Source organism: Homo sapiens, chromosome 7 (assembly GCF_000001405.40).
Source record: "Homo sapiens chromosome 7, GRCh38.p14 Primary Assembly".
NCBI lineage: Eukaryota > Metazoa > Chordata > Mammalia > Primates > Hominidae > Homo > Homo sapiens.
The window spans coordinates 99011543-99036558 of record NC_000007.14 but is presented as its reverse complement, the minus strand read 5'-3'; the positions used below and the strand labels follow the sequence as shown (position 1 = coordinate 99036558).

The following is a 25016-nucleotide window of genomic DNA, read 5'->3' as shown; positions in this document are numbered from 1 at the left end:
GAGGAGAGCTTGGGAGCCAAGAGCTTGGATGGAGCAGTAGTTCTGGGGTGAACTTTTGTGGTTTTTTTTTTTTTTTTTTTTGAGACACGGTCTCGCTCTGTTGCTCAGGCTGGAGTGCAGTGGTGCGATCATGGCTCACTGCAGCCTCGACCTCCCAGGCTGAAGCCATCCTCCCACCTCCGCCTCCCGAGTAGCTGAGGCTACAGGTGCACGTCATCATGCCTGGCTAATTTTTGTATTTGTTGTAGAGACGGGGTTTTGCCATGTTGCCCAGGCTGGCCTTGAACTCCTGGGCTCAAGTGATCTGCCCAACTTCGGCCCCCACAAAGTGCTGGGACTACAGGCGTGAGCCACTGCACCCAGCAGGGGTTGAACTTTTTAAGCCAATTGCGGAAACATGCCCTATCGGCCCCAGCCCCACCTAACTCTTGCTGAATTCTCCTCTCTTCAGACTTGAAACTCCACATGTCCTTGAGTGTCCTGGAGAGACCCTGGGACGTGCCGTTATTCATGGTTAGCTCTGTTCAGTGTCACCGGTTGGTTCTTTGATACTCCTCACCGATGCAGAGCAAAAACCCCGCTTTGGTTATAAAATAACATCCCATCAACAGCTGTGCACCGCGGTCCTTGGGGTTGGAGACCCGTTTGGAGGAGGCGGACGGAAGCATGTGCCACAGGCCTCCTGTTTGTAGCTTTCTTCCTGTCTCAACATCTGCCTAGTACACAGCTGCTGCTTTGCTTGGGAATCGACTTTTCACTGTTGTGTGTCGGGTACCTAGGAGGCGCATCCTGACGTGGGTTTATGCATTTTGGAAGTAATTCACCTTTCTGCACCTCCTCAGCTGATCATAGGCGGCCTGGATAAAATAGACTTGAACGACTGGAAGTCGAACACGCGGCTGAAGCACTGTGTGGCCGACAGCAACATCGTGCGGTGGTTCTGGCAAGCGGTGGAGACGTTCGATGAAGAAAGGAGGGCCAGGCTCCTGCAGTTTGTGACTGGGTCCACGCGAGTCCCGCTCCAAGGCTTCAAGGCTTTGCAAGGTGACTGACGTGGAGGCAGGGCTATTCGATGACGCGTCTATGTGCGCTGTGGGCAGGAAGAGCTGGAAGGTGGCTGGGATGTTTTTCTGAGATGTGTGCTAGAAAATGGCATAAGGAATGTTCTCCAGTAGCTAATGCTCTGCCCTACAGAGGTGGTTACCTGGCAGGGGCCGTGTGTGAGCAGGTGTGGGGCCCCGCTGAGCAAAGACTGTGGAGCCACTCCAGGGCACCTGGATTCCCCCTCCTCACTGCTTCCAAAAAGCCAAGAGGGTCTGGACAGCAGGGGCCTTCAGAGTGTCTGTGAGGCCAGCTTAGCCAAGATCCCGGGGAGGGAGCTATGGGGGAACCGCCCCCAGTCTCAGTGGCTCCAAAGCTTGGAGCTGCACATGAACCCGTTTAGCCACCAACCACACCGAAAGATGATGTCCTGCTCACTCTGTTTAAGCCACTGAGGTCGCCGGAAGTGGGGTGGAATTCTGTGCGAAAGGTGCCCATCTGCCTGTAGGGCAGGCGGCCTAATGTCTCATCTTTTACACTTAGGGTTTGGAGGGTACGTTGCTGGAAGGAGTGAGGTGAGTGAAGGGTGTCACCATACTGAAATTTAGCTGATTGGACTGTAAATGCTGATAGACACACAGACACATTGTAAACACAGAATATTCCCTCTGCCTCGCTGAGTAAAATGAGGTTAATTCCATTTCAGTCGGCTTTGGCCATCAGGGCACCTGCATCTTTTCCATTGTGACCTCTGCCTATAGATTTGCTGCTGGGGGCCCAGCATGGATAAAAAGGGGTTTGAGGCTGAGCCCCGCTCGTATCTGGGAGCCTCTGTCTGCCTGACCATGACAGCTGCTCCCAGAGCTTGCTGGTGCCTGTCATTTACAAAGCCTTTCTCATTCAGTTCTCCCAACAACCCCGAGAGCCTGGCTGATGGGGATTATTAGCCCCATTCCATGGATGAGGAAGCCGAGACTCACTGAGGTCATGGGATTTATTATCCCCCCGAGGAAAAAAAACAGGAGGTGTGAGTGGGGAGGCAGGGCAGGAATCCAGGCTTCCTGACCAAGTCACTTTTCTCATGGCGCCATTGTCTTGCCCACAGCAGGTCCACATGCTAAACCTTCCTGCTTAGAGATAGTCCCTGTCATTGTAAGGGTCTCATTAGTCCTCCAATAATTGGATAGACTTTAGCCCAGTGTCCTCCAAGTGTCTAGAAGGTGGGTCAGAGGTGACCAGGGTCACAGTCCCGAACAGGGAGTGCTGGTGCTGTGGGAGGGCACTGAATGGTGGCCCGGGCAGAGTGGCCAGGGCCCTGCAGGAGGTCTCTGAAGGCCCTCACCTGGCCCAGCCTGTCCTGACTCCCCAGGAGGCTGGGGCTTGGAGGGTGTGGCCTGTGAGGGGGAGGAGCCAGCTTCCTGTCCCAGGACCCCAGAAACCAGGGGCTGCACACTGAGACCCTCTGCCCAACATAAAGATGGTGTCTCTGCTGGTCCTCATTGCTCCCGGAGTCCTGTCCTGCCACTGACCTTGGCCCAGCTTGAAAGGAGTATCTGTGAATACACAGGAGCAAGGGGCAGCAGAGCCAAGGCCCGTGCCCTCTGCGCCCTCCTTTCCCAGCACCTGGCACCCCTGTCAGCTAGCCGTCTTTGCAGCAGCAGTGGTGGCTGCTGGCCAGCCTGGTGCTCACTTGGGGCTGAGTTTGGAAACACCTGAGCAAGAAGGGGCCTGGTGCCTCTCCCTGCCCTACAGAACTGGTGGGCAAGTCGTCTATTCCAGAGGGTGGGTACAAATAGCTCTGACCCTCAGGGAGCCTGTCTGGAGCAGGCCCATGGTCAGGGTGCACTTTAGGGGGGGCCTTAGCAGTCCTTGCTCTGCCCCCTGCGATATTCTAAAATGTTGGCATCTTGGCTGAGTGTGGTGGCTCACGCCTGTAATCCCAGCACTCTGGGAGGCCGAGGCAGGTGGATCACCTGAGGTGATCCAGGAGTTCCAGACCAGCCTGGGAAACATGGCAAAACCCCGTCTCTACTAAAAATACAACAATTAGCCAGGCGTGGTGGCATGTACCTGTTATCCCAGCTACTCGGGAGGCAGGAGAATTGCTTGAACCCGGCAGTCAGATGTTGCAGTGAGCCGAGACTGCCCCACTGCACTCCAGCCTGAGCAACAGAGTGAGACCCTGTCTCAAAAAAGTGTCTGAATTTTGTCACTTTGATAGCCATTGCAGGCATGTCCTAAAACCAGGCCTGGGAACCTCATGGCCCTCTCACAGGACAGCCTGCCTGGGTGTGGGGGTGGGAATGTGGTCAGGGCCCTGCTCCTGGGGGCTGTGTGGCCGGGAAGCGCCACGGCTGTAACTCTGAAGTACATTAACTAGAATGTTGTCTTGTAAGGTTCTACAGGCGCGGCAGGGCCCCGGCTGTTCACCATCCACCTGATAGACGCGAACACAGACAACCTTCCGAAGGCCCATACCTGGTAAGCACCGCGGCCAGGAAGTCACGGCGTCCTGGGAGCCCCAGAGGATGCTGACGTTCACGTTTTTTTTTTGTTGTTTTTTTTTGAGATGGAGTCTCTGCCAAAATATTTTTGTCATCATCAGAACTCAAAAGCCACAGCACCTGAGACAGAAGGAGAAATTCTAGAGTTGAATGACAATTCTGAAGCCCTCAAGCAAGAGACTTTCCCCCCGACATTACGACACTGTATAGAGCGGCTTTACTGGCCATGTAAAAAAATACCTGTAAGAGGGCCAACATTATTGCTAAACTTAACATACATCTTTCTTACAGTATATATAACCTAAAATTTAAATATAGATTTTCTCTTGATTTAGTTTTTTGTTTTTGAGACAGTCTTGCTTTGTCACTCAGGATGGAGTGCAGTGGCACGATCTCGGCTCACTGCAACCTCTGCCTCCTGGGTTCAAGCAATTCTCATGCCTCAGCCTCCTGAGTAGCTGGGACTACAGGCGCACGCCACCACACTTGGCTAATTTTTGTATTTTTAGTAGAGATGGGGTTTTGCCATGTTGGCCAGGCTAGTCTGGAACTCCTGGCCTCAGGTGATCTGCCCACCTCGGCCTCCCAAAGTGCTGAGATTACAGGCGTGAGCCACCAAGCCCGGCCTCATGTTATTTTTTAAAGCTGTTTTCCGATTTGTAGGACTCTGTTTCATTTATGCCAATTCTCAATGACTGGCAGTAGTGCTTGTGTCAGATGGGACAAGTACTTTGCAGCGTCCCACACAAAGGTTGTCAGAGTCTCTTATGAAACTAATTTTGTTATGAGCCATGTAATTAATTAATATTGGTGTTTCAGTGGAGTGTGGCTACCACTCCAGCAGGCTCAAGTCTTCCTCTCTGCCAGGTCTTATGTACACACACCTGTTGGTAAGGAAAATTGTATAGTTTTTAGTTTGGATGTATTGGGCTTCACTTTATCTGACATTTCTGGGTCCCCATCTTCTTGGAATCCTGCTTATGACACACGTACCTTGTCTATTGCAAATGTTTTCTTCCTAAATTTTAACTTAAAAACGAGTCTCCATAGTAGATTATTTCCTGTATGGTTTACAAATACAATCACTTGCGTACACTTTGTCCTGGAACCATCCATTGAGACGAGTAGCCACATTTCCTTGGGGGAACCAGTTCTAGATGCTGCTGAGATGCCCCGTGAGATGATGGAAGGTTCCTGTCTTGGAACCCAAGGATGCGGGGTCAGATGCTAGCTGTGACACCCTCTGACATGTGATTTGGGGCAAGTGACTTCATATTCTAACTTGGTTTTCCACACCTGTGAAATGGGGTAATGCAGCTGGTCCTGGACCATGGTGGGTGCCAAGGTCCTGCTCCAAGCATGGCTGTGGCGTCCATTACGGGAACGCACCATGTTGGCTGCACACCCTACTCACAAGGCTTTTGTCCTTTAGTAGTTTAGTGCTTGGAGTTAGATGGATGTGGAAAGTATGCTCTGAAGCTCCAGAAAAAAGAGTGCCCGCCCTGGAACCCAGCTCTGTAGAGACAGAAACCATCCTTAATTGCTTACCCTAGAAAGCCAGAAGTCACTGTACATCCTCTGGGTCACAATTTTGTATTTTTTGGTTTGCTACGATAGCTTCTTAAAGGATGTCTTTTTCTTTGCACAAATACTGGAAATGAGCTTCCCCCTGGAAATATCGAGTCAGAAGTTGAATATTCATTTCATCTTTTAAGGATCTGTCATCTTGTTAGTTTTGAGATCTATTTTGTTTTTGCAGGGAATTTTCCAGACTGCCCTGTTTTGGTCTCAGATCAAGTCCCAGAGGAACAGACAGACACGCAGTACATCGTTAGTGGTGACGTTGCCTGACAGCCAGTCTAGGTTACAGGGGCTGCCAAAGAGGCATTCCCAGTACAGAGAAAGAATTTCTCCCAAAGACAGACAAACAGAAAACAAGTGGAGAGCTTTGTCCTGATAGAAGCAGTAAATAGTAACTTGGTTATGTTTTGGTTGTGAAGGCCCAAGACTTACTTTACTGTGTGTTGATTGGGCACAGTGGCTCCCAGCACGTTGAGAGGGCAAGGCAGGAGGTTCACTTGAGGCCAGGAGTTTGAGAGCAGCCTGGGCAACCTAGCGAGACCCTGTCTCTACCAAAAAGCAAAAACAAATTACAAATCTTTGTATTAGAAGCAGAAAAACACAGGGGACATGGAGAACTCATCACCAACCCTGCCCCACCCCCCATTCCTCTCCCCTCCCACATATACTTCTCACTGCCTGTCCTTGGCCTTGAGGTTGGTCCTAGGGCTGGACTGCCCACACGGTGACTCTCTTTTGTCCTTTTTCAGCTTTAACCGGATCGACATTCCACCATATGAGTCCTATGAGAAGCTCTACGAGAAGCTGCTGACAGCCGTGGAGGAGACCTGCGGGTTTGCTGTGGAGTGAAAAGCAACCAAAGGCAACAGAGTCTAGCTCATGGCCACCAGACCAAAAGCATCCAGCTTCTGTGCACCTCCTGCAAAGCTGGCAGAGGCCCTGGAATTCCAGATCACCTGAGGGGAAAGGGTTGTCTCTCTCCTTTCTGTTGGGGGAGGGGGATGGGGGACTTTTGTTGGTGGCTCCCACCCATATATCCCTCCTTTACCATAGTACTCCCACCCACTTCCATCACCCATCCAATAAAATGCAGCCAGGTTTAGCCTTTGGCTTTGGTCACACAGGATATTCTGCTGTGTTGCAACCCATGTGGTGATAAGGCTCACAGCCCTGAGCTCTTTACGGGAGCATCAACTCACAGTTAGGGGACTGGGCGTGGCTGATTGAGGGTTTGGAACTGGTGGCTATGCCAGCTATTCCATCTCAAAACAGCCTTGAGGCCCCTTTTCAATTTGAGCAGCTGCTAGATATCTTATCAGAGCTCAGATTCCAGATTTCACATCCCAGCAGCCGGTTCTGGGTAGCAGATCAATTTCCAACTGGAAAATAACTATATAATGTATGCTTATTGGAATTCTGCCACAGCAGGAAGCTTGAGTCAAAATGTGTTTCCCCTTTGAAAGGAGAAGGAATTGGAGCAGCTTTTCCTGGAGGCCCAGGATATTTCTTTTCTGGGTATCTTGGCTGAAAATTTTGTTTTACATAGAGAAAAACGATCTTTTAAGGGTCCCTTTTGCTGCATTATCTGTCCAGTTTGACTTTTTTTTCAGTGAAAACACCATGTCATGGAGTGTAGGAAAGAGCAGACCAAAATCAGCCCTAGAGCCAACCAGTCAGTCCCAAAGCTGTGACCTCTGTGCCACTGTTGTCCATAGAAGAGCATCGACTGTGTCACTTAAAATATTAGTAAACCATGATGCAGCAACTGCTAAGAGCTAAACTAACAAAATTGTGTCATCATAGCTGCTGGCTTGGTGTGAACTCGCTTAAAAGCAATGGTGAAAGGATAACCTCGATGATGTAAATCCACCCAAAGATACTGTTCTACAAAAAGTAGGGTGTGGACGCAAACCTGTGACAGCAGAGGGGGACGACTTCACACTCACTGCCTCATGTGGCCCCTTTCCCAGTGGCAGCTGGTGACACTAACGATTGCTACTCGGTTCACTTGCCCAGATGTCTTCATATGATGAGCAAGGCCAGAAGCAAGGCTAGATTCGAAGTTTCTGACACCATTTCCAGTTTGCACAAAAGTCAGTATTTTATCTTAAAGTGGCTTGATTTCCAATAGCTGAACTTGGGCAGAAAACAGCAGGCCAATGTTCCTATGTGGTTTCTTTGTTGTTGTTTTTGTTTGGGGTGGGGGCAAGTACAGGGTAATTCATGAGCAAGACATTTCACTGCTGTCGAAGTCTCTGGGATCCCGCTGTGGGTCTGAGATGGCCTGGGAAGGACCTTGTGGACAATGGTTTTATCTGTTCTTTTTGTCACTGTTAATTTCTGGGCTGCTGAGGTTCTAGAATAGAAGGGCTGCCAAATGAGGTTTGCTGCAGGAGGAAAGTTTAATCCCCCATTCCAAAAGTCCAGGCCAAATGGTGGGCTTAGCCTCTTTGAAAAGTTCTGCCTTGCCCCCACAGGTGGGCACATCCTGTGTCTCATTCACCATGATGCTTCCTGAGGGTGTTCTAGAAGCCCGTTCCCCAGTGGCTGTATCCAGCCTTTCCTTGCATCATCTTCCTCTTGAAGGTGAGGAAGTGAAAACTACAGACCTCCCCCGGACAGCCCACTCTCTATCACGAGCCTAACCCGCGGGAGGCGGAAGAGACATCCATTCGAGAACTGAAGCGGCCTCCGGGATGAGGTCAGAGGCCCCACCTGATTTTCCTGGTGGTGGTATCCAAAATCTTCAGTAACTAGGAAGGAAACCAGGGTCTCATGGTTTAAAAGACTTTGAAGCAGGAATGTTGCATTTGACGCCTTTAAAACTACCTTTTTGCTGTTGGGAGGAGTCGGGGGCGAGCCTTAGCAGCTGCACCGCCATCCCCATGCTGGTTGGTGCTGCCCTGCCTCTCGTGCCGGGTGTTGCTTCAGCCCAGAGCCAGAGGGCTGGGTCCCGGGTCCTCCACAGGTGACCCCGGTGGACACACGCGTTCCCATCCTGGCCTCCGTCTCTGCTTTTCCACTTCTACCTGCGTGTGGGTTTGCCGCCTTGTCATCGGTTGTGTGAGTGTCGCAGACCTTTCCAGAGCTCCGGTTCACTCTTTCCAAACAGGCCTCCCTGTCGGTGGCACTGCACTCCTAGAACCTTCAGTTTCTACGATGGTTTGTTTGGTCCTTTTGAACCACCCCAAAGAACTCAACATGGCAAAGCAAATGGTAAAAGCTTCCCGACTGTTCTACTTTGGGTCCGCGCGAAGCCCACTCACGTGTGATCTGTGTTGCCCCTCTCGGTGGTCCCAGGCGATCCAGCCATGCCCCCTGCCCCTCTGCCCAGATGCTTCAGGGGCCCGGCTTTTCAGGCTTGCCCTCACCAGCGGCCGTCAGCCGACACTCAGGGATGTAGCTAACACCACTCCGCCAGTGCTTTCAGTAGGAAGAGCTGAGGCTGCCTGGGAGGCCCGGGGCGACCGGAAAAGGGCTCTCTCAAGTTCTGAAAAGAGAATCTGCCACCAGATCGAATTTCGACCCCTGAGCTTGTTCGGACGTATGGTCCAAATTCAGATTAAGGTGGTCACCCAACCCGAGATGTCAGGAAAGGCCTTCTGCAGAGAAAATGTCCCCCCACCCGCCATCTGCAGCCAGGTGTGTGCCACACGGCAGCCTTCCCGAAACATAGTATGGATTTTAAAAATGTGTTTATTTTTGTTTCTCAACCACTTTATAACGTATTTTTTAATTTATTTTGTAATGTCTTGTTTTGAAGTATTGCTGCTATCCTTGTTATCCTTCCCACTGTTTTTATCACTGATTTATTTTGTGAAAGTTGTACACTAATGTTCTATGTCAAAATCAAAAGTATTTAATGAAATACTAGTTCTATTTAATGTGGTTATGGAACCAGCTGGAAACACAAAACAAACAGTGATTGTACAGCAGGCTGGGCCCAGGAGGTCAGGTTCATTTTGTTACATATGCAATAAACTCACGACTTTACATTTTTGGCGTCTGTTATTTTGGTGTGGAAATGAGATTCTAGTGTCTTTGCAAACCCACAAGAAAGGAAGTGTGTAGGCAGCAGGAATACTGGCAAGGGCCTTCCAAGGAAGAAGGACAGAGATAAGGATAGAATTGTAAGGGAAACTAATGGCAATATGGTAGTGGGCTGAAAGTGCTCTATCGGGAAAAAACATGGGATTGAGAAAATTTAGAATTTCTTTGCGCACCGGTTATCTTTTCGTTTTTTCCTTTTTTTTTTATTTTTTTGAGATGGAGTTTTGCTCTTGTTGCCCAGGCTGGAGTGCAGTGGCGCAATCTCGGCTCACTGCAACCTCCACCTCCCAGGTTCAAGCAATTCTCCTGCCTCAGCCTCCCGAGTAGCTGGGATTACAGGCTTGCGCCACCACGCCCGGCTAATTTTGTATTTTTAGTAGAGATGGGGTTTCTCCATGTTGGTCAAGCTGGTCTCAAACTCCCAACCTCAGGTGATCCGCCCGCCTCGGCCTCCCAAAGTGCCGGGATTACAGGCATGAGCTACTGTGCCCAGCCCTTACTTTTTTAAAAAGTTGTAGTAAAAATACTGTCAGCCCTACATACCAGTGGGTTCCACATATATGGATCCAACTGGGGATCAAAAATATTTTTTTGGCTGGGTGCGGTCAGGAGCTGGAGACCAGTCCCAGCTTCTTGGGAGGCTGAGGCATGAGAATTGCTTGAACCTGGGAGGTGGAGTTTGCAGTGAGCTGAGATCACGCTACTGCACTCCAGCCTAGGCAACACAGCAAGACTGTCTCAAAAAAAAAAAAAAAAAAAATTTTTTTTTTAAATGGATGGTTGCATCAGAACATGAATAGATTTTTTTTTCTTTTCATTATTCCCTAAACCATACAGAATAAAAACTACTTACATGGCATTTATATTGTATTAGAAATTATAAACAATCTAGAGATGATTTAAAGTATACAGGAGGATGACTTTTTTTTTTTTTTTAAAAAAAAGAGTCTCACTCTGTCACCCAGGTTAGAGTGCAGTGACACAATCTTGGCTCACTGCAACCTTCGCCTCCTGGGTTCAAGCGATTCTCCCGCCTCAGCCTCCCGAGTAGCTGGGACTACAGGAATGCGCCAACATGCCCGGCTAATTTTTGTATTTTCAGTAGAGATGAGGTTTTACCATGTTGCCCAGGCTGGTCTCAAACTCCTCCACCCACCTCCACCTTCCACAGTGCTGGGATTACAGGCATGAGCCACTGCACCTGGCATTACTGACATCTTAACAAAGTTAAGTCTTCCAATCTATGAACATGGGATGTCTTTTCAATTTACTTAAGTTTTCTTTAACTTCTTTATACAATATTTTGTTTTCGGCAGACAACTGGCAAGTCTTGCACCTGCATGGTTAGCTTTATTCTTTTAGATGCTATTATAAACATAATTGCTTTCTTAAGCTCTTTTGTGGACATTCATTGCTAGTATATAGAAACATAACTGCATTTGTGTGTCAATCTTGTACCCTAAAACTGCAAAAATTCGTTTCCTGGCTCTAGTGGCTTTCTTGTGAATTCTTTGCAATTTTCTATCTGTAGGAGATAGCTTTACCTTTTCCTTCCAACTTGGATGCCTTTTATTTTTTATCTATTAGCTCTGGCTTATACTTTCCAGTACAATGTTGAATAGCTGTGGTAAAAGTGGGAATTTTTTTCTTGTTCCTGATCTCAGAGGGAATGTTTATAAGTAAAATGCCCTTCTGTATCAGTTGAGATGTACATGTTTTTTTCCCTGTGTTCTATTAATGTGATGTGTTACATTGATTGATTTTTCTTATGTTGGGCCACCTTTCCCTTCCTGGGATAAATTCCACTTGGTTGTGGTGAATAATTCTTTTAATATGGTCTTGGGGCCGGGCGTTGTGGCTCATGCCTGTAACCCCAGCACTTTGGGAGGCCGAGGTGGGTGGATCACGAGGTCAGGAGTTCGAGACCAGCCTGGCCAACACAGTGAAACCTTATCTGTACTAAAAATACAAAAATTAGCCTGGTATGGTGGCACACGACTGTAGTCCCAGCTACTCAGGAGGCTAAGGCAGGAGAATCGCTTAAACCTGGGAGGTGGAGGTTGCAGTGAGCCAAGACTGCGGCACTGTACTCCAGCCTGGGTGACAGATCAAGACTCCGTCTCCAAAAAAAAAAAAATGCTGTTGGATTCAATTTGCTAATATTTTGTTGAGGATTTTTACATCTATATTCATAACAGATATTGGTCTATAGTTTTCTTGTAGTGTTTTTGTCTGGCTTTCAAAAATCACCGTAATGCTAGTCTCATAGAATAAGTTAGGAAGCATTCTTTCCTTTTCAACTATTTGGAAGAGTTTGAGAAAGACTGGCATTAATTCTGCTTTAAATGTTTGCTAGAATTCACCAGTGAAGCCATCTGGTCTTGAGCTTTTCTTTGTTGGGACGTTTTAGATTTTTGATTCAATCTTCTTACTAGTTATCAGTCTATTCAGATTTTGTTTCTTTATGATTCGGTCTTGGTAGGTTGTAGAGTTCTAGGAATCCATTTCATCTAGGTTATTCAATTTGTTGGCATACAGTTGTTCATGATACTCTACGATCCTTTATATTTCTGTAACATTGGTAATAATGTCCCCTCTTTCCTTTTAGCTGATTCTTCCTTCTTAATCATCTAAAGTTTTGTCAATCTTGTTGATCTTTTTGAAGAACCAACTCTTAGCTTCACTGATTTTTGTCATTTGTCTTTTATTTCCTCTGCTATAGTATTTATTTTCTTCTGTTAGCTTTGGGTTTAGTTTGTTCTTTTTTTCCTAATTCCTTCAGGTATAATGTAAGTTGTTCATTTTTAACCTTCTTTTTAATATAAAGATTTACAGCCATAAGTTTCCTTGGTCATGGTGAATAATCCTTCTTAGCACTGCTTTCGCTGCATTCCATAAGTTTTGGTATGTTGTGTTTTCATTTGTCTCAAGATATTTTCTAATTTCCCTTGTGATTTATTCTTTGACCCACTGGTTGTTTGAAAGCATCTTGTTTCATTTCCACATATTTATGAATTTCCCAGTTTCCTTCTGTTACTGATTTTTAGCTTCATTCTGTTGTGGTCAGAGAAAATACTTTGTGTGACTTCAGTCTTCTTAAATTTATTGAGACTTGTTTTATGACCTCTCTGGAGACAGTCTATTCTGGAGAATGAATGTTCCATGTGTATTTGAGAAGAATGTGTACTCTGCTGTTGGGTGGAGTGTTTGTGTATGTCTGTTAGGTCCAGTTGGTCTACAGTGTTGTTCAAGTCCTGTATTTCCTTATTGATCCTCTGTCTAGTTGTTCTATTAATAATTTATTGAAAGTGGGGTATTGGGCTGCGCACAGTGGCTCATGCCTGTAATCCCAGCACTTTGGGAGGCTGAGGCAGGCGTTCACTTGAGGTCAGGAGTTTGAGACCAGCGAAACCCCGTCTCTAATAAAAATACAAAAATTAGCCAAGTGTGGTGGCACATGCCTGCAATCCCAGCTACCCTGGAGGCTGAGGCAGGAGAATCAGTTGAACCTGGAAGGCAGAGGTTGTAGTGAGCCAAGATTGCACCACTGCACTCCAGCCTGGGTGACAGAGCAAGACTCTATCTCAAAAAAAAAAAAAAAAAAAAAGTGGGGTACTGAAGCTTTCTACTATTATAGTGGAGCTATTTCACCCTTCGCCTTTGCTGTGAGCCTCTCTGGGTTTATCCTAGCTGAAATTTGTCAAGCTTCTTAAATTTGTATGTCCATTTCTTTCTTCCAATTTGAGAAAGTTTTGTCCATTATTTTTTCAAATAAGCTCTGTCCTCTTCCTTTCTTCTCTTTCTGGAATTTCCTAAATTGGACCTGTCCTAAATCGGACACCTTGATGTGTTCCATAAATCCCTTGAGCTCTCTTCATTTTTTCTCTTTGCTCGTCCAGTTCAGTGATTTCAAATGATCAGTTTTCTAAGGTGTCTGATTCTTTCTTTTGCCTGTTTGAGTCTGGTGTTGAACCACTGTATTGAATACTTCATTTATTGTATTTTTCAGTGCCAGAATTTGGTTCTTTTAGATAATTTCTATTTTTGGTTGATATTCTCATTTTGTTCATACATCACTATCCTGATCTCCTTTAGGCCTTTGTCGTGTTCTCCCATAGATCTCTGGGCATATTCAAGACAACTGTTTTAAAGTCTTTTCTAACAAGTCTGATGCCTTTGTTTCTTCAGGGATGGTTTCTAGAGATATATTTTGTTCCTTTGAATGGGACATGTTTTCCTGTTTCTTTGTATTCCTTGTGATTTTTTTTTTTTTTTTTAAACTGGGCATTCGCAAAAGCAGTCATCTCTTCCAGTCTTTGAAGAGTGGTGGGGAAAAGCTTCACTAATTCAGAGGGTATATCGTAATAGTTGCTATCAGCCTGAGGCGACAGCTTAAGGTCATCTCAGGTCTTTTAGGGGCCTCTGTTTTTCTTTCGTTTATACCATATACATGGCTGCTTTTCAAAGTCTTAATTTTTAGCCAGGCGCGGTGGCTCACGCCTGTAATCCCAGCACTTTGGGAGGCCGAGGCAGGCAGATCACGAGGTCAGGAGATCGAGACCATCCTGGCTAACACAGTGAAACCCCGTCTCTACTAAAAATACAAAAAATTAACTGGGTGTGGTGGCGGGCGCCTGTAGTCCCAGCTACTCTGGAGGCTGAGGCAGGAGAATGGCACGAACCCGGGAGGTGGAGCTTGCAGTGAGCCAAGATCGCGCCACTGCACTCCTGCCTAGGCAAAAGAGCGAGACTCCGTCTCAAAAAAAAAAAAAAAGTCTTAATTTTTCAAAGGGTCTTAACCCAGCTGCTTCTTAGGAATAAGATGTTCTCTTATATTTTCTGCCCATAATCTCTTGCCCCAGGTATCCACTGTGGTGCCCCTGGCAGATTTTACATGTCGTACCTGCCACTGCCTTCCATGGCTCTTGCCAGCCTGAGATCTGAACTATGCCACCTTCCCTGTTTCACCTCTGAGTCAGATGACATAGAAACCAGTCCTTCAGGTAGCCCAAAGACAGGGCAGAACACTGCAAATCAGTTCTGCTCTGCTCCCTCCGGTGCAAGGGAAGACACTGGAAATTGGGCTGCTTCCTCCCAAACACCCAGTTGTGCCAGGGAGGAATGGGGGAAGGGCAAATAAAAATGACATAAAAACTATTTTCAATGTGGCTTTTTCTTGATTGGGTGTTCAGCTGGTTGCTATAGACCTTTGGCTGGTTCCCAGAGCTCCTAGTGAGTGCCTAGTTGTTTTTTTTTCCCCTCAATGTTTCCTTGGGGAAATGTGGGCCTGGAGCTTCCTGGTCTGCCATCTCCAATCTCTCTTGATTGGAGAATTCAATCCATTTTACATTTAAAGTACTTACTGATAAGAAGGGACTTACTTCTGCCATTTAAACTTTTTTTTTTTTTTGGTTCCTCATTTCCTCCATTACTGCCTTTCGTGTTTAGTTCATTTTTTATAGTGACACGGGGATTACACTTGACATCCTAACATTACAACAACCTAAATCGAATTTATATCAACCTAATTTGAATAACATACAGAACTCTGCTCCTGTACTGCTGTCTCCCTTACTGTTACTGACATCACAAATTACATCTTTATACGTTGTGCACCCAATATTAGCAGTTGTTAATGGATCTGTCTTTTTAATCATGTAGAAAATAAAAAGAGTTACAAACCATCATTAGAATATACTAGATTTTATAACTGTCCATGTATTTACCTTTACTGGAGATCTCTATTTCTTCTTACAACTTCAAGTTGTAAGATGCTTAGTGTTCTTTTAAAGAAGTTTATAGTGTTCAGCGTTTCAACCTGAAAGACTCCTTCTAGCATTTCTTGCAAAGAATGATAATGAACTCCCTCAGCTTTTATCTGGGAAGGTATTAATTTCTTCCTCATTTCTAAAGGACAGTTGTTAGATGTAGAATTCTAACAGGTTTTCTTTCTTTCAGCAGTTTTCATATATGAGCCCATTCTCTTCTGATTCCCAAAGTTTCTGATGAAAAATATGCTGATAATCTTGAGAATCTCTTGTATGTGATAAATTACTTCTCTCTTGCTGCTTTCAAGGTTTTCTTTTGTCTTCAATGAAGTGTCTTGGTGTGTGTTTCCTTGAGCTTATCCTATCCAGAGTTTGTTATGCTAATTGGGTTTGTAGATACATTTTTTTTTTAATCAAATATGAGCAGTTTTCTGTTGAACTTTCTTTAAATATACTTTCTGCCCTTGCCTCTCTACTTCTGGTCTCATTTATGGCATTCCATAGGTAGGTTCCTTAGGTTTTCATTTACTTTCTTCATTTTTTTTCTTTTGATTCCCCAGATTCAACAGTTTCAATTGCCCTATCTTCAAGCTCATTGAGTGGTTCTTCTACCTGCTTAAATATTTTGAACCCTTTAGGGAATTTTTCATTTCAGTTATTGTACTTTTTATAGTTCCAGAATTTGCTTCCTTTATAAAATTTCTATTTATTGATATTCTCATTTTGTTCATATACTGTTCTCCTGTCTTTGTTTTCCTTTAGCTCCTTCAGCATCTTTCAAACAGTTGTTTTAAAGTTACTGTCTAGTAAGTCTGCTGTCAGCGCTTCCTCAGTGATGGTTTCTGTTGATTTGTTTCTTTGAACGTGCCATACTTTTCTATTTCTTTGAGGGTCTTGTGATTGTTTCTTGTTCAAAACTGGACATTTGAATCTTATAACTCTGGAAATCAGATTCTCCTTTTTTCCCCCCCAAGCATTTACTCGTCTCCCCACACCAACTGTTGAGGGTATCTCAGGATCAGCTTGAGGTGAAAGCTTAAAGTCTTCCCAGGTCTCTTCTGAGCCTGCATATTTCTCTAGGTATGTGGAGTGGCTTTCTAAATTGCCCTGTATACACATTTATTTCACAGTTGATTTCTCTGCTCAGGGACTCACAAGGCTGCGATCAAGGTGTCAGCCAGACTGTATTCTCATCTCTCGGCTCAACCAGGGAGAATCTTCTTGCAGGCTCCTCCAGGTTGTTGGCAGAATTCATTTTCATGTGACTTTGTGATGGAGGGACCTGGCATCTTACTGGCTGTTGGCAGGAGGCCCAAGTAAGTTGTCCGCACATGTGCTTTTCAATATCCTCATCCTTAAGTCTGGCTCCCCAAATGGAAAAACAGGTAAGAAGAAAAACAATAGCTCAGGCTGTTCCCTTAAATCCTCTGGAAGCCACTTCAGCCAGTGGGGAATGCAACAATGGCTACCCACCTCTATGTTTGCACTTCTGCAATCAAAACACTGAACCTTGATACGTGGAGGCCAGATCCTTACTTTTCACCCTGGCTCCAGGAAGTCATGCCAGGAACACGGGCATGGCTGCCTACCACAAGACTCAGGATGGGGAGACGCTAATATCCTAAAGGCTGAAATTGACCGAAATTAACTGCAACTTACCAGCCAAGATTTTCCTTGGAAGTTGCAAGCATCCAAATTAGACTCCAGAGTTCCAAAACGGTTACCTCAGACAGATTCTGCCACTCCAATTTTTGTCTCGGTGCGGAGAGAGATTCCTTCCTCTTCTGTCCCCTTGCTGGATGTCACTCTTATATCTTTTTTTATTTCTCACCCTGGCACAGTCACTAGAATGCAGTGTGTGTCTGTAAGCTTAGCCAGCAGACACAGTCCTGCGCTCTGATGTCTGTGAGAGGATGCAGCACTCTAGGTTAGGGAACGTGTGTCTGGCTTGTTGGGGCATTTTCTACTGTCAAAAGTCGGAGTATTTTCAGGTTTTGATCTCAGTGTCATCACTAGGTAGTTGGGGCTTTAAACAAGTTGGTAAGCCTATCTGTGTGCCCACATCTACCGTGTCTACTACCTTGATCACTTTTCTTTTTTTTTGAGACAGGGTTTTGCTCTTGTCGCCCAGGCTGGAGTGCAAATGACATGGTCTCGGCTCACTGCAACCTCCGCCTCCCGGGTTCAATTGATTCTCCTGTCTCAGCCTCCCGAGTAGCTGGGACTACAGGCGCCTGCCACGACGCTTGTCTAATTTTTGTATTTTTAGTAAAGAGGGAGTTTCACCATGGTTGGCCAGGCCGGTCTCGAACTCCTGACCTTAGGTGATCTGCCCGCCTTGGCCTCCAAAAGTGCTGGGATTACAGGCATGGGCCACCGCACCCGGCCAATGACTTTTTTAAAACATGCTCTTTTGAAACTCTCTCGTTTGTTCTTTCATCTTCCCTTCCACCACCATAAGCACTGCAGCTCCCTCAGGAAGCCATAGCATCCTTGTCTTCTGATTTTTACCTGATGATCATATACAGATATATATGTATACATATTTTTTGTGTGTGCCGATTTTTTTCCATGTCTATGCTCTCAAGAGGCAGGATGACTTTGTTGAGAGCAGAGCTAGGATGTAGGATCAAGGCTTTATAACATGACCTTGAATATTACCCTGATACCAAAGCCAGGCACCAGGAGAAAACTACAAACTAATGGCCCCTATGAATACTGATGCAAAGATTTTCAACAAAATACTAGCAAACCAAATCCAACAGCATATTAAAAGGACTATATACCATGATAAATTGGGATTTATTCCTGGGATGTGCAAGGATAATTCAACAAATGAACAGGATAAAGAGGAAAAACCACAAAATCATTTTAACTGATACAGAAAAGCATTTGACAAGATGTATCACCTTTTCAGATAATAACTTCTTCCAGCAAACTAGGAATAGAAGGAAAACACCTCAACATAATAAAGGCCATTATGCAAAACCCAGAGCTAAGATCATACTCAATGGTGAAAGACTGACAGGGCTTCCTCTAAGATAAGGAATGAGACAAAGGTGACCGTTTTTTGCCACTTGTACTCAACACAGAAGTGGAAATTCCAGCCAGAATAATTAGGCAAATGGGGAAAAAAAATCCAAATTGAAAAGGAAGAGGTAAAATTATCTGTTTACAGATGACATGATTATAGAAAAGTCTAACGAAAACAAACTATTAGAATAAACATATTTAGCAAAATTGTAGGATACAAAAATCAACATACAAAAATCAGCTGTGTTTCTATACACTAACAATAAATAATCCAAAGAGGAACTTAAGAAAACAATTCCATTTACAGCGGCATTAAAAAGAATAAACAGGAACACACTTAACCAACAAAGTCAAATACTTGTATACTGAAAACTGTAAATCATTCATTAAAGAAATTATAGAAGACGGGCCGGGCATGGTGGCTCACGCCTGTAATCCCAGCACTTTGGGAGGCCAAGGTGGGCGGATCACGAGGTCAGGAGATCAAGACCATCCTGGCTAACACGGTGAAACCCCGTCTCTACTAAAAATACAAAAAATTAGCCGGGCGTGGTGGCGGGCACCTGTAGTCCCAGCTACTCGGGAGGCTGAGGCAGAATAGCGTGAACCCAGGAGGTGGAGCTTAGAGTGAGCAGAGATCCTGCCACTGCAGCCCAGCCTGGGTGACAGAGCGAGACTCTGTCTCAAAAAAAAAAAAAAAGACATTCCAAGCTTATGGAATAAAAGACATACTATATTGTATTTTTAATTTTTCATTTTTTTTTGAGATGTTCTCCCATCCAGGCTGGAGTACAGTGCTACAATCATAGCTCACTGCAGCCTCCAACTTCTGGGGTCAAGTGATCCTCCTTGCTCAGCCTTCCATGTAGCTGTGACTACAAGCACACACCAACACACCCAGCTAATTTTTATATTTTTGGTAGAGATGAGGTCTCACTATGTTGCCCAGGCTGGTCTCAAGCTCCTGGCCTCAAGCAATCCTCCTGCCTCAGCCTCCCAAAGTGCTGAGATTACAGGTGTGAGCCAACACACCTGGCCAAAATATTGTTAAGATGTCATTACTACTCAAAGTGATCTATAGATGCAATACAATCACTATCAAAATCCCAACATTGGGCTGGGCGCAGTGGCTCACGCCTGCAATCCCGGCACTTTGGGAGGCCAAGGCGGGTGGATCACCTGAGGTCAGGGGTTCAAGACCAGCCTGGCCAACATGGTGAAACTCCATCTCTACAAAAATACAAAAACTAGCTGGGCGTGGTGGCATGCGCCTGTAATCCCAGCTACTTGGGAGGCTGAGGCAGGAGAATCGCTTGAACCCAAGAGGTGGAGGTTGCACTGAGCCGAGATGGCGCCACTGCACTCCAGCCTGGGCGACACAGCAAGACTCCGTCTCAAAAAAAAAAGAAAGAAAGAAAGAAAAAATCCCAACATTTTAGCAGAAACAGAAAAATAAATCCTCAAATTTGTATGAAATTGCAGGGGACCCCAAATCCAGAACAATCTTGAAAGAGAAGCACAAACTAAGAGAACTTACACTTCCTGGTTTCAAATCTTACTAAAAAGCTACAGTAAGCAAAACATTGTAGTGGTGGCATAAAGACAGACAGAGAGACCAACTGAACAGAACAGAGAGCCCAGAAATCAACTCTCCACACCATATGCGTCAACTGATTTTGGGACGCCAACACCCTTTCCAACAGGATCGTCTTCTCAACAAAATTATGTTGGAAAAACCAGATATCCACAAGCAAAAGAATTCAGTTGGGCCCTCAGCTTATAGCATATACACAAATTAACTTCAAAGTGGACCAAAGATCTAAAGTAAGTGTTAAAACTATAAAACTCTTAGAAGACTACATAGGAGAAAAGCTTCATGAGATTAGATTTGGCAATGATTTTTTGACATTACATGAAAGGCAAAGGAAAAATAAATTGAACTGCATCAAAATTAAAAACTTTTGTGCATCAAATGACACTATCGACAGAGTGAAAAGGCAACTCACACAATATTAGACATTATTTGTAAACCATCTATCTCCAAGGGATTACTATCCAGACTATATAAAGAACTGTAACTCAACAACAAAAACAACTCAATTGAAAAACGGGTAACGGACTAGAATTGACACATCTCCAAAGAAGATATATGACTGGCTCACAAGCATATGAAAAGCTGCTCAACTTCACTCATCACTAGGGAAATGCAAATCAAAACCACAGTGAAGTACCACTTCATGCCCATTAGGATGGATGTCATAAAAAAAAAAAAAAAAAAAAAACCCAGCTGGGCGCGGTGGCTCACGCCTGTAATCCCAGCACTCTGGGAGGCCGAGGTGGGCGGATCACACGAGGTCAGGAGATCTAGACCATCCTGGCTAACAAGGTGAAACCCCATCTCTACTAAAAATACAAAAAATTAGCCAGGCGTGGTGGCGGGCACCTGTAGTCCCAGCTACTCGGGAGGCTGAAGCAGGAGAATGGCATGAACCCGGGAGGCAGAGCTTGCAGTGAGCTGAGATCGTGTCACTGCATTCCAGCCTGGGTGACAGAGCGAGACTCCATCTCAAAACAACAACCACCACCACCAAACAAAAAAACAGAACATTGCAAGTGTTGGCAAGAACGTGAAGACACAGAAAACCTTACCTATTGCTGGTGGGAACGTAAAATGATACAGCTGCTATGGAAAACAGCATGGCAGTTCCTCAAATAATGAAAGATAGAATTCCTATATGATCCAGCAAGCCTACTTCTGGGTAGATAACCAAAGAACTAAAAGTAGGAAATTGAACAAATATTTGTATGCCTATGTTCAGAGGAGCATTATTCATAGTGGACAAAAGAGAGAGAAGCCAAGTACCCATCAGCAGATGAACGAACAAACAAAATGTCCACACAGGCAACGCAATGCAATTCAGCCTTAAAAAAGTAAGGAGAGTCTGACACGCTGCAGCATGGATGAACCTTGAGGTCATTATGCTAAGCGAAATAAAACAGTCACAAAAGCCTGGGTGCTGCGGCTCATGCCTGTAATCCCAACACTTTGGGAGGCTGAAGTGGGTGGATCGCCTGAGGTCAGTAGTTCAAGACCAGCCTGGCCAACATGGTGAAACCCTGTCTCTACTAAAAATACAAAAATTAGCCGGGTGTGGTGGCGGGGGCCTGAAATCCCAGTTACTCAGGAAGCTGAGGCAGGAGAATCGCTTGAACCTGGAAGGCGGAGGTTGCGGTGAGCCGAGATCGTGCCACTGCACTCCAGCCTGGGTCACGACAGTGAAACTCCGTCTCAAAACAAAAACAAACAAAAAACAGTCAGAAAAAGACAAATATTGTATGATTCCACTTACATGAGGTCCCTAGAGTCATCAAATTCACAGAGACAGAAATTAGAATGGTAGTTGGCAGGGGCGGAGGGGAGGGCTGATGGGGATTGAGTGTTTAATGAGGACAGATTTTTCCAGATGGGAAGATGTAAAAGTTCTGGAGATGGATGCTGGTGATTGCTGCACAACGAAGGTGCATAATGCCACTCAACTGTGCACTTAAAATTCATCAAAATGGTAAATTTGATGTTATACATATCTTACCCCAAGAATAAAAAGAAGTCTGATCATAGCACTTACCTTGAAATGGTGTTTGGAGAAAAAGGGCATATTGTCTGCATGGTCTGGACCCTCCTCACTCTGGAGCCGGCAGCCTCCCGGGTCCAGCTCCCAGCAATGCTGTGCCGGGTGGACAGAGCTGAGGTTCATGGTCACTGAGTTGCTGCCTGAAGGGCTCCAGACTCCAGATCCTTGATCTTTCCACGTGGAGCTCATGAGAGCTCCTGGATCTTCACCGGGGAGGTGCTATCTCCTGCCTTGGCCATTCCAAGGTTGGTTTTCCCAACAACCAGGGGGAAGGTGTGGGCGAACCTGGCAGCAGGCCGGGCCTCTTCCTCACCAGTAGCACCAGCTCCAGACTCCCATTCTCCAGTGTGAAAGACAAATGTCCCCCAACCCTAACGCCACCCACACATCTGCACAGACACCAGGCTTCATGGAGCGCAAGACGACTCACACAGTGGCCCAGGCCTTGTCACACGCAGTGAGGACAATCAGAGGAGCACGGTCACCGCTCAGGCCTGATGCCAGCAGGACACCCACCAGCTGCCAGATGAGCACGCAATCACTCCTCATTTGCAAAGCACGGCTCCCATCATTCCAGAACCCAAGACACTGTCTCACAAAGACAGCTCTCTGCAAGGAACTGGGAAGTAACTTGAGTCCAGTCAGACCGGCAAAAATCAGTCCCTCGGCCTTGACCTGTGAGCAGCATGTGGGCTTGGAATCAGGCTGGACGGGCTTCCCTCCCAGTTTCTCCACAGCTGCTCCAGGCCTGGGACAAGCTTCTCACCTTCTGTGAGCTGGAAACCCCCTCTCTATAAAGTGGGGAACCACCCCTCTGGGCTGAGGGCTGGAGCCCAGCACAGAGACCTTGATGGTAGCTGCCAGTACCGCCCACTGCAAACCAGCCTGCACCCAGGCCATAACCCAGCAACACAACTGCGATCTCAAGCTGCCAAGGGACATCTTGTCAAGGCCCTTTCATTTGACCCTGTGGTGGGATTTGGGTAAACTCAGCTGTAATCATCATTCCGTGGTAGCCTGGAACAATGGAGGGTAAATGAAAGGCAAGGAGAGTCAAGGGCTGGAGAAGGTTCTGTGGCCTGCGGCAGAGGTCCAGAGAGGGCTCCGTGCTGCCCCCGTCCCCTGGGGCCTGTAAAGGGCCATCTTCCTCGAAGAAGATGTTTCTGACATCATGGCGTGTGCTCCTTGGGGACTGCCCCTCCCACACGAGGGCAGGCCTGGCTGAAGGTACACACTGGATGAAGGACAATGAGGAGGTAGAGCTGGGTACAGAGTGCTTCATGCTGAGCCTCCGGGCATGCTTCGTGTACACTCCGCACACTCTCCACACACACACGTTACATGGCAGCAGTCCTGAAACACATGAAGATAGCTGAGGGCTCCGAGAGTCTGGCATGCCGACCCGCTGCTGAGATCAGGCCGCCATTCTGAGAGTCCCGCACGCCGACCTGCTGCTGAGGTCGGGCCGCCATTCCTCATCAACTTGACTGAATATGCTCTGAGCTGGCTTCCCAGGTGCCAAGTCATGGCCTCCCCTGTGATCACAGCAGCACTGTGCCTGCCCAGGCAGCGCACGCTGTCACCAAGAGGCTACGCTGAGGAGCCCACACTGTCTCTGGGGCCTCTGGTTCCCAAGGGGCTAGGGACATTGAGAGGGAAGAAACCCCTCATGGAAACAAGCATTTTAACATAAACAAGGGACAATAAACCCTTTTATAAAATATTTATTCTAAAAAAAAAAATCACACTGTACAAATTTAGATAGAACATTATCAATGCTCAGATTTATAAAAATGGGAACAGAAAGACTAAAGCTAGCGAAGGAACGTACATTTCTGTTTTGTCTTTTTAAATTAGGAAGGTAAAAGTGATTTTTTCTTCAGGTGCAGTGATAGTAAATGTCTAGAAGACATCCGAAGAGCCAGAAATAAAAAGCACAGGAGCCGCCTGCAGACTCTCAGAGTTCTGTCTTCACCCACTGAATCCGAAGTGGATGCGTGTGGCGCTCCCGCAGGGTGGCCTGGCCCCGTGGATCCACGCCGAACGCTCAACGAGATTCCCAAGGCTGGCTGTGTACAGCCTAAAACTTTGTGCTCAGAGAAAAACCAGCATGATGGGTTCATCAACTCCTGTTTCTCAAACAAAATGAGTTTTCTGTACACTTGTTACAAAGGTCTGTACAAAAGCACGAAGCTGCTGTGAGGTGTTATTTCCGAAAGAGTTAAAAATGGATGGAAGGGAGCTGTTCGTACAGTTCCGCCTGTACATTCACAGAGGGAGGACACCATAAAAAAAGGACTCACTCAGAAATTCCAGACCGGAGAATCCTGGCTTCTTAAAAGATTATTTTGAAAGCTTGGAATAAGTTTCAGCTCTGCCATTTCCAACCGCTTCGCCCAGCATCGTCATAGTTCAGCTTCCTCTAAAACTATATTCTCCCTTTCTTACACGCAAACTACCAGGAAAATAACCGCAACCCAGTGAAACTATGGGGCTTCTGTGAATATAAGGAACGAGGCAGGGAGAAGTCGTAAAAGCTGCGGGCTCAGAGCCCGGAGCGCCCTTCACATTCCGGGTGGCCGTGGCGGCCACAGTCACAGCCAGGGGTGCCAGGCGGGGTCCATGCGGCACAGATTGTCCAGGCTGTTTGCCGCGGCCACCAGGGTGTTCACCTTGCTTTCCCCGCCTTCGAACTGGGCGAGGTTGTGCAGGCGGGTCATGATGGCGGTGACGGCTTTCTGAACCAGGGACACCAGTTGCTGGCTGTCCATGTTCTCTGGCTGCCCGGCGGCCGAGAGAGGAGAGGACGTGTCCTCTTGTGTTTTTTTGTGCCAAGCAATGATCTCGTCCCGGAGAACCGTTTTCAGAATGCCATCCACCTGCGTGAGGGAGAGAACGAGACGACTTGTGTTTAACCAAGAACAGCCCACAGGGGCAGCTTCCTAACAAGGTGGGACTCAACCACAGCGGCCGCTCAGGGCCACCAAGGGCCAGTCGAGTTTCAGCACCAGGCCAGGCTGTGTGCCCTCAGGACGGGCTGGGGAAGCCGCTGGGGGACAAACCCCTTCCTCCACTTGGAGCAGCAGCCAGAAGGCCTCAGTGTTGGGCAGCGCGGACCTAGATGACAAAGGCAGCCATGCTGCGACTGAGGCCCAATCTGTTTATTTGTTCACTTGACACCTTCCGGCATCTGCCGAGTGTCAGGCAGGCCCGTTCCAAGCACTACAGACAAGAGTGAACCAAAGAGAAAACCATCCCTTGCCCTCACAGCAAAGGACATAACACACAGGGGTGCTGGCCACTGTGGAGAGCGCAGAGCCCGTGAGGCACATCAGCAGCTCCTGCAAGGCCGTGACGCGCGGGCATCTGAGTGGCTCTAGCCTGCGCCTGTGATAGGACGACGTGGA

General features: G+C 46.6%; 2 protein-coding genes and 1 long non-coding RNA gene across 11 annotated transcripts in view, besides 1 other annotated feature; 1 reads left to right on the top strand and 2 right to left on the bottom strand.

Moving 5' to 3' along the window:
- SMURF1 (SMAD specific E3 ubiquitin protein ligase 1) overlaps positions 1 to 9119 on the top strand; it is a 116669-nt gene extending 107550 nt beyond the window's left edge. For 5 of the 7 annotated variants that reach the window (NM_181349.3, NM_020429.3, XM_047420637.1 and 2 more), the window contains 3 exons: positions 843 to 1044; positions 3438 to 3522; positions 5876 to 9119. In NM_181349.3, the coding sequence (NP_851994.1) occupies positions 843 to 1044; positions 3438 to 3522; positions 5876 to 5975 (387 nt within the window). In that variant the 3' untranslated portion in view covers positions 5976 to 9119. The remainder of the gene's footprint in view (positions 1 to 842; positions 1045 to 3437; positions 3523 to 5875) is intronic. The other 2 variants (NM_001199847.2, XM_017012457.2) reach the window with 1 other exon arrangement.
- LOC101927550 (uncharacterized) lies at positions 67 to 23394 on the bottom strand. Its single transcript, NR_110102.1, has 6 exons — positions 21604 to 23394; positions 5802 to 5964; positions 5559 to 5674; positions 5094 to 5214; positions 3520 to 3665; positions 67 to 1142 (listed from the first exon to the last, which is right to left on the bottom strand). It is a non-coding gene; the product is annotated as an uncharacterized LOC101927550 (long non-coding RNA).
- Positions 1923 to 2423: an enhancer, noted in NCBI's record as "H3K4me1 hESC enhancer chr7:98631759-98632259 (GRCh37/hg19 assembly coordinates)". NCBI's record gives its function as "activates a minimal SCP1, AML or CMV promoter by ChIP-STARR-seq in naive H9 embryonic stem cells {active_cell/tissue: H9 hESC(naive)}" and the evidence as "EXISTENCE:reporter gene assay evidence [ECO:0000049][PMID:30033119]".
- The window catches only part of TRRAP (transformation/transcription domain associated protein), a 134710-nt gene continuing 133011 nt past the window's right edge, over positions 23318 to 25016 (bottom strand). For all 3 annotated transcript variants that reach the window (NM_001375524.1, NM_001244580.2, NM_003496.4), the window contains one exon: positions 23318 to 24488. In NM_001375524.1, coding sequence (NP_001362453.1) covers positions 24204 to 24488 — 285 coding nt within the window. In that variant the 3' untranslated portion in view covers positions 23318 to 24203. The remainder of the gene's footprint in view (positions 24489 to 25016) is intronic.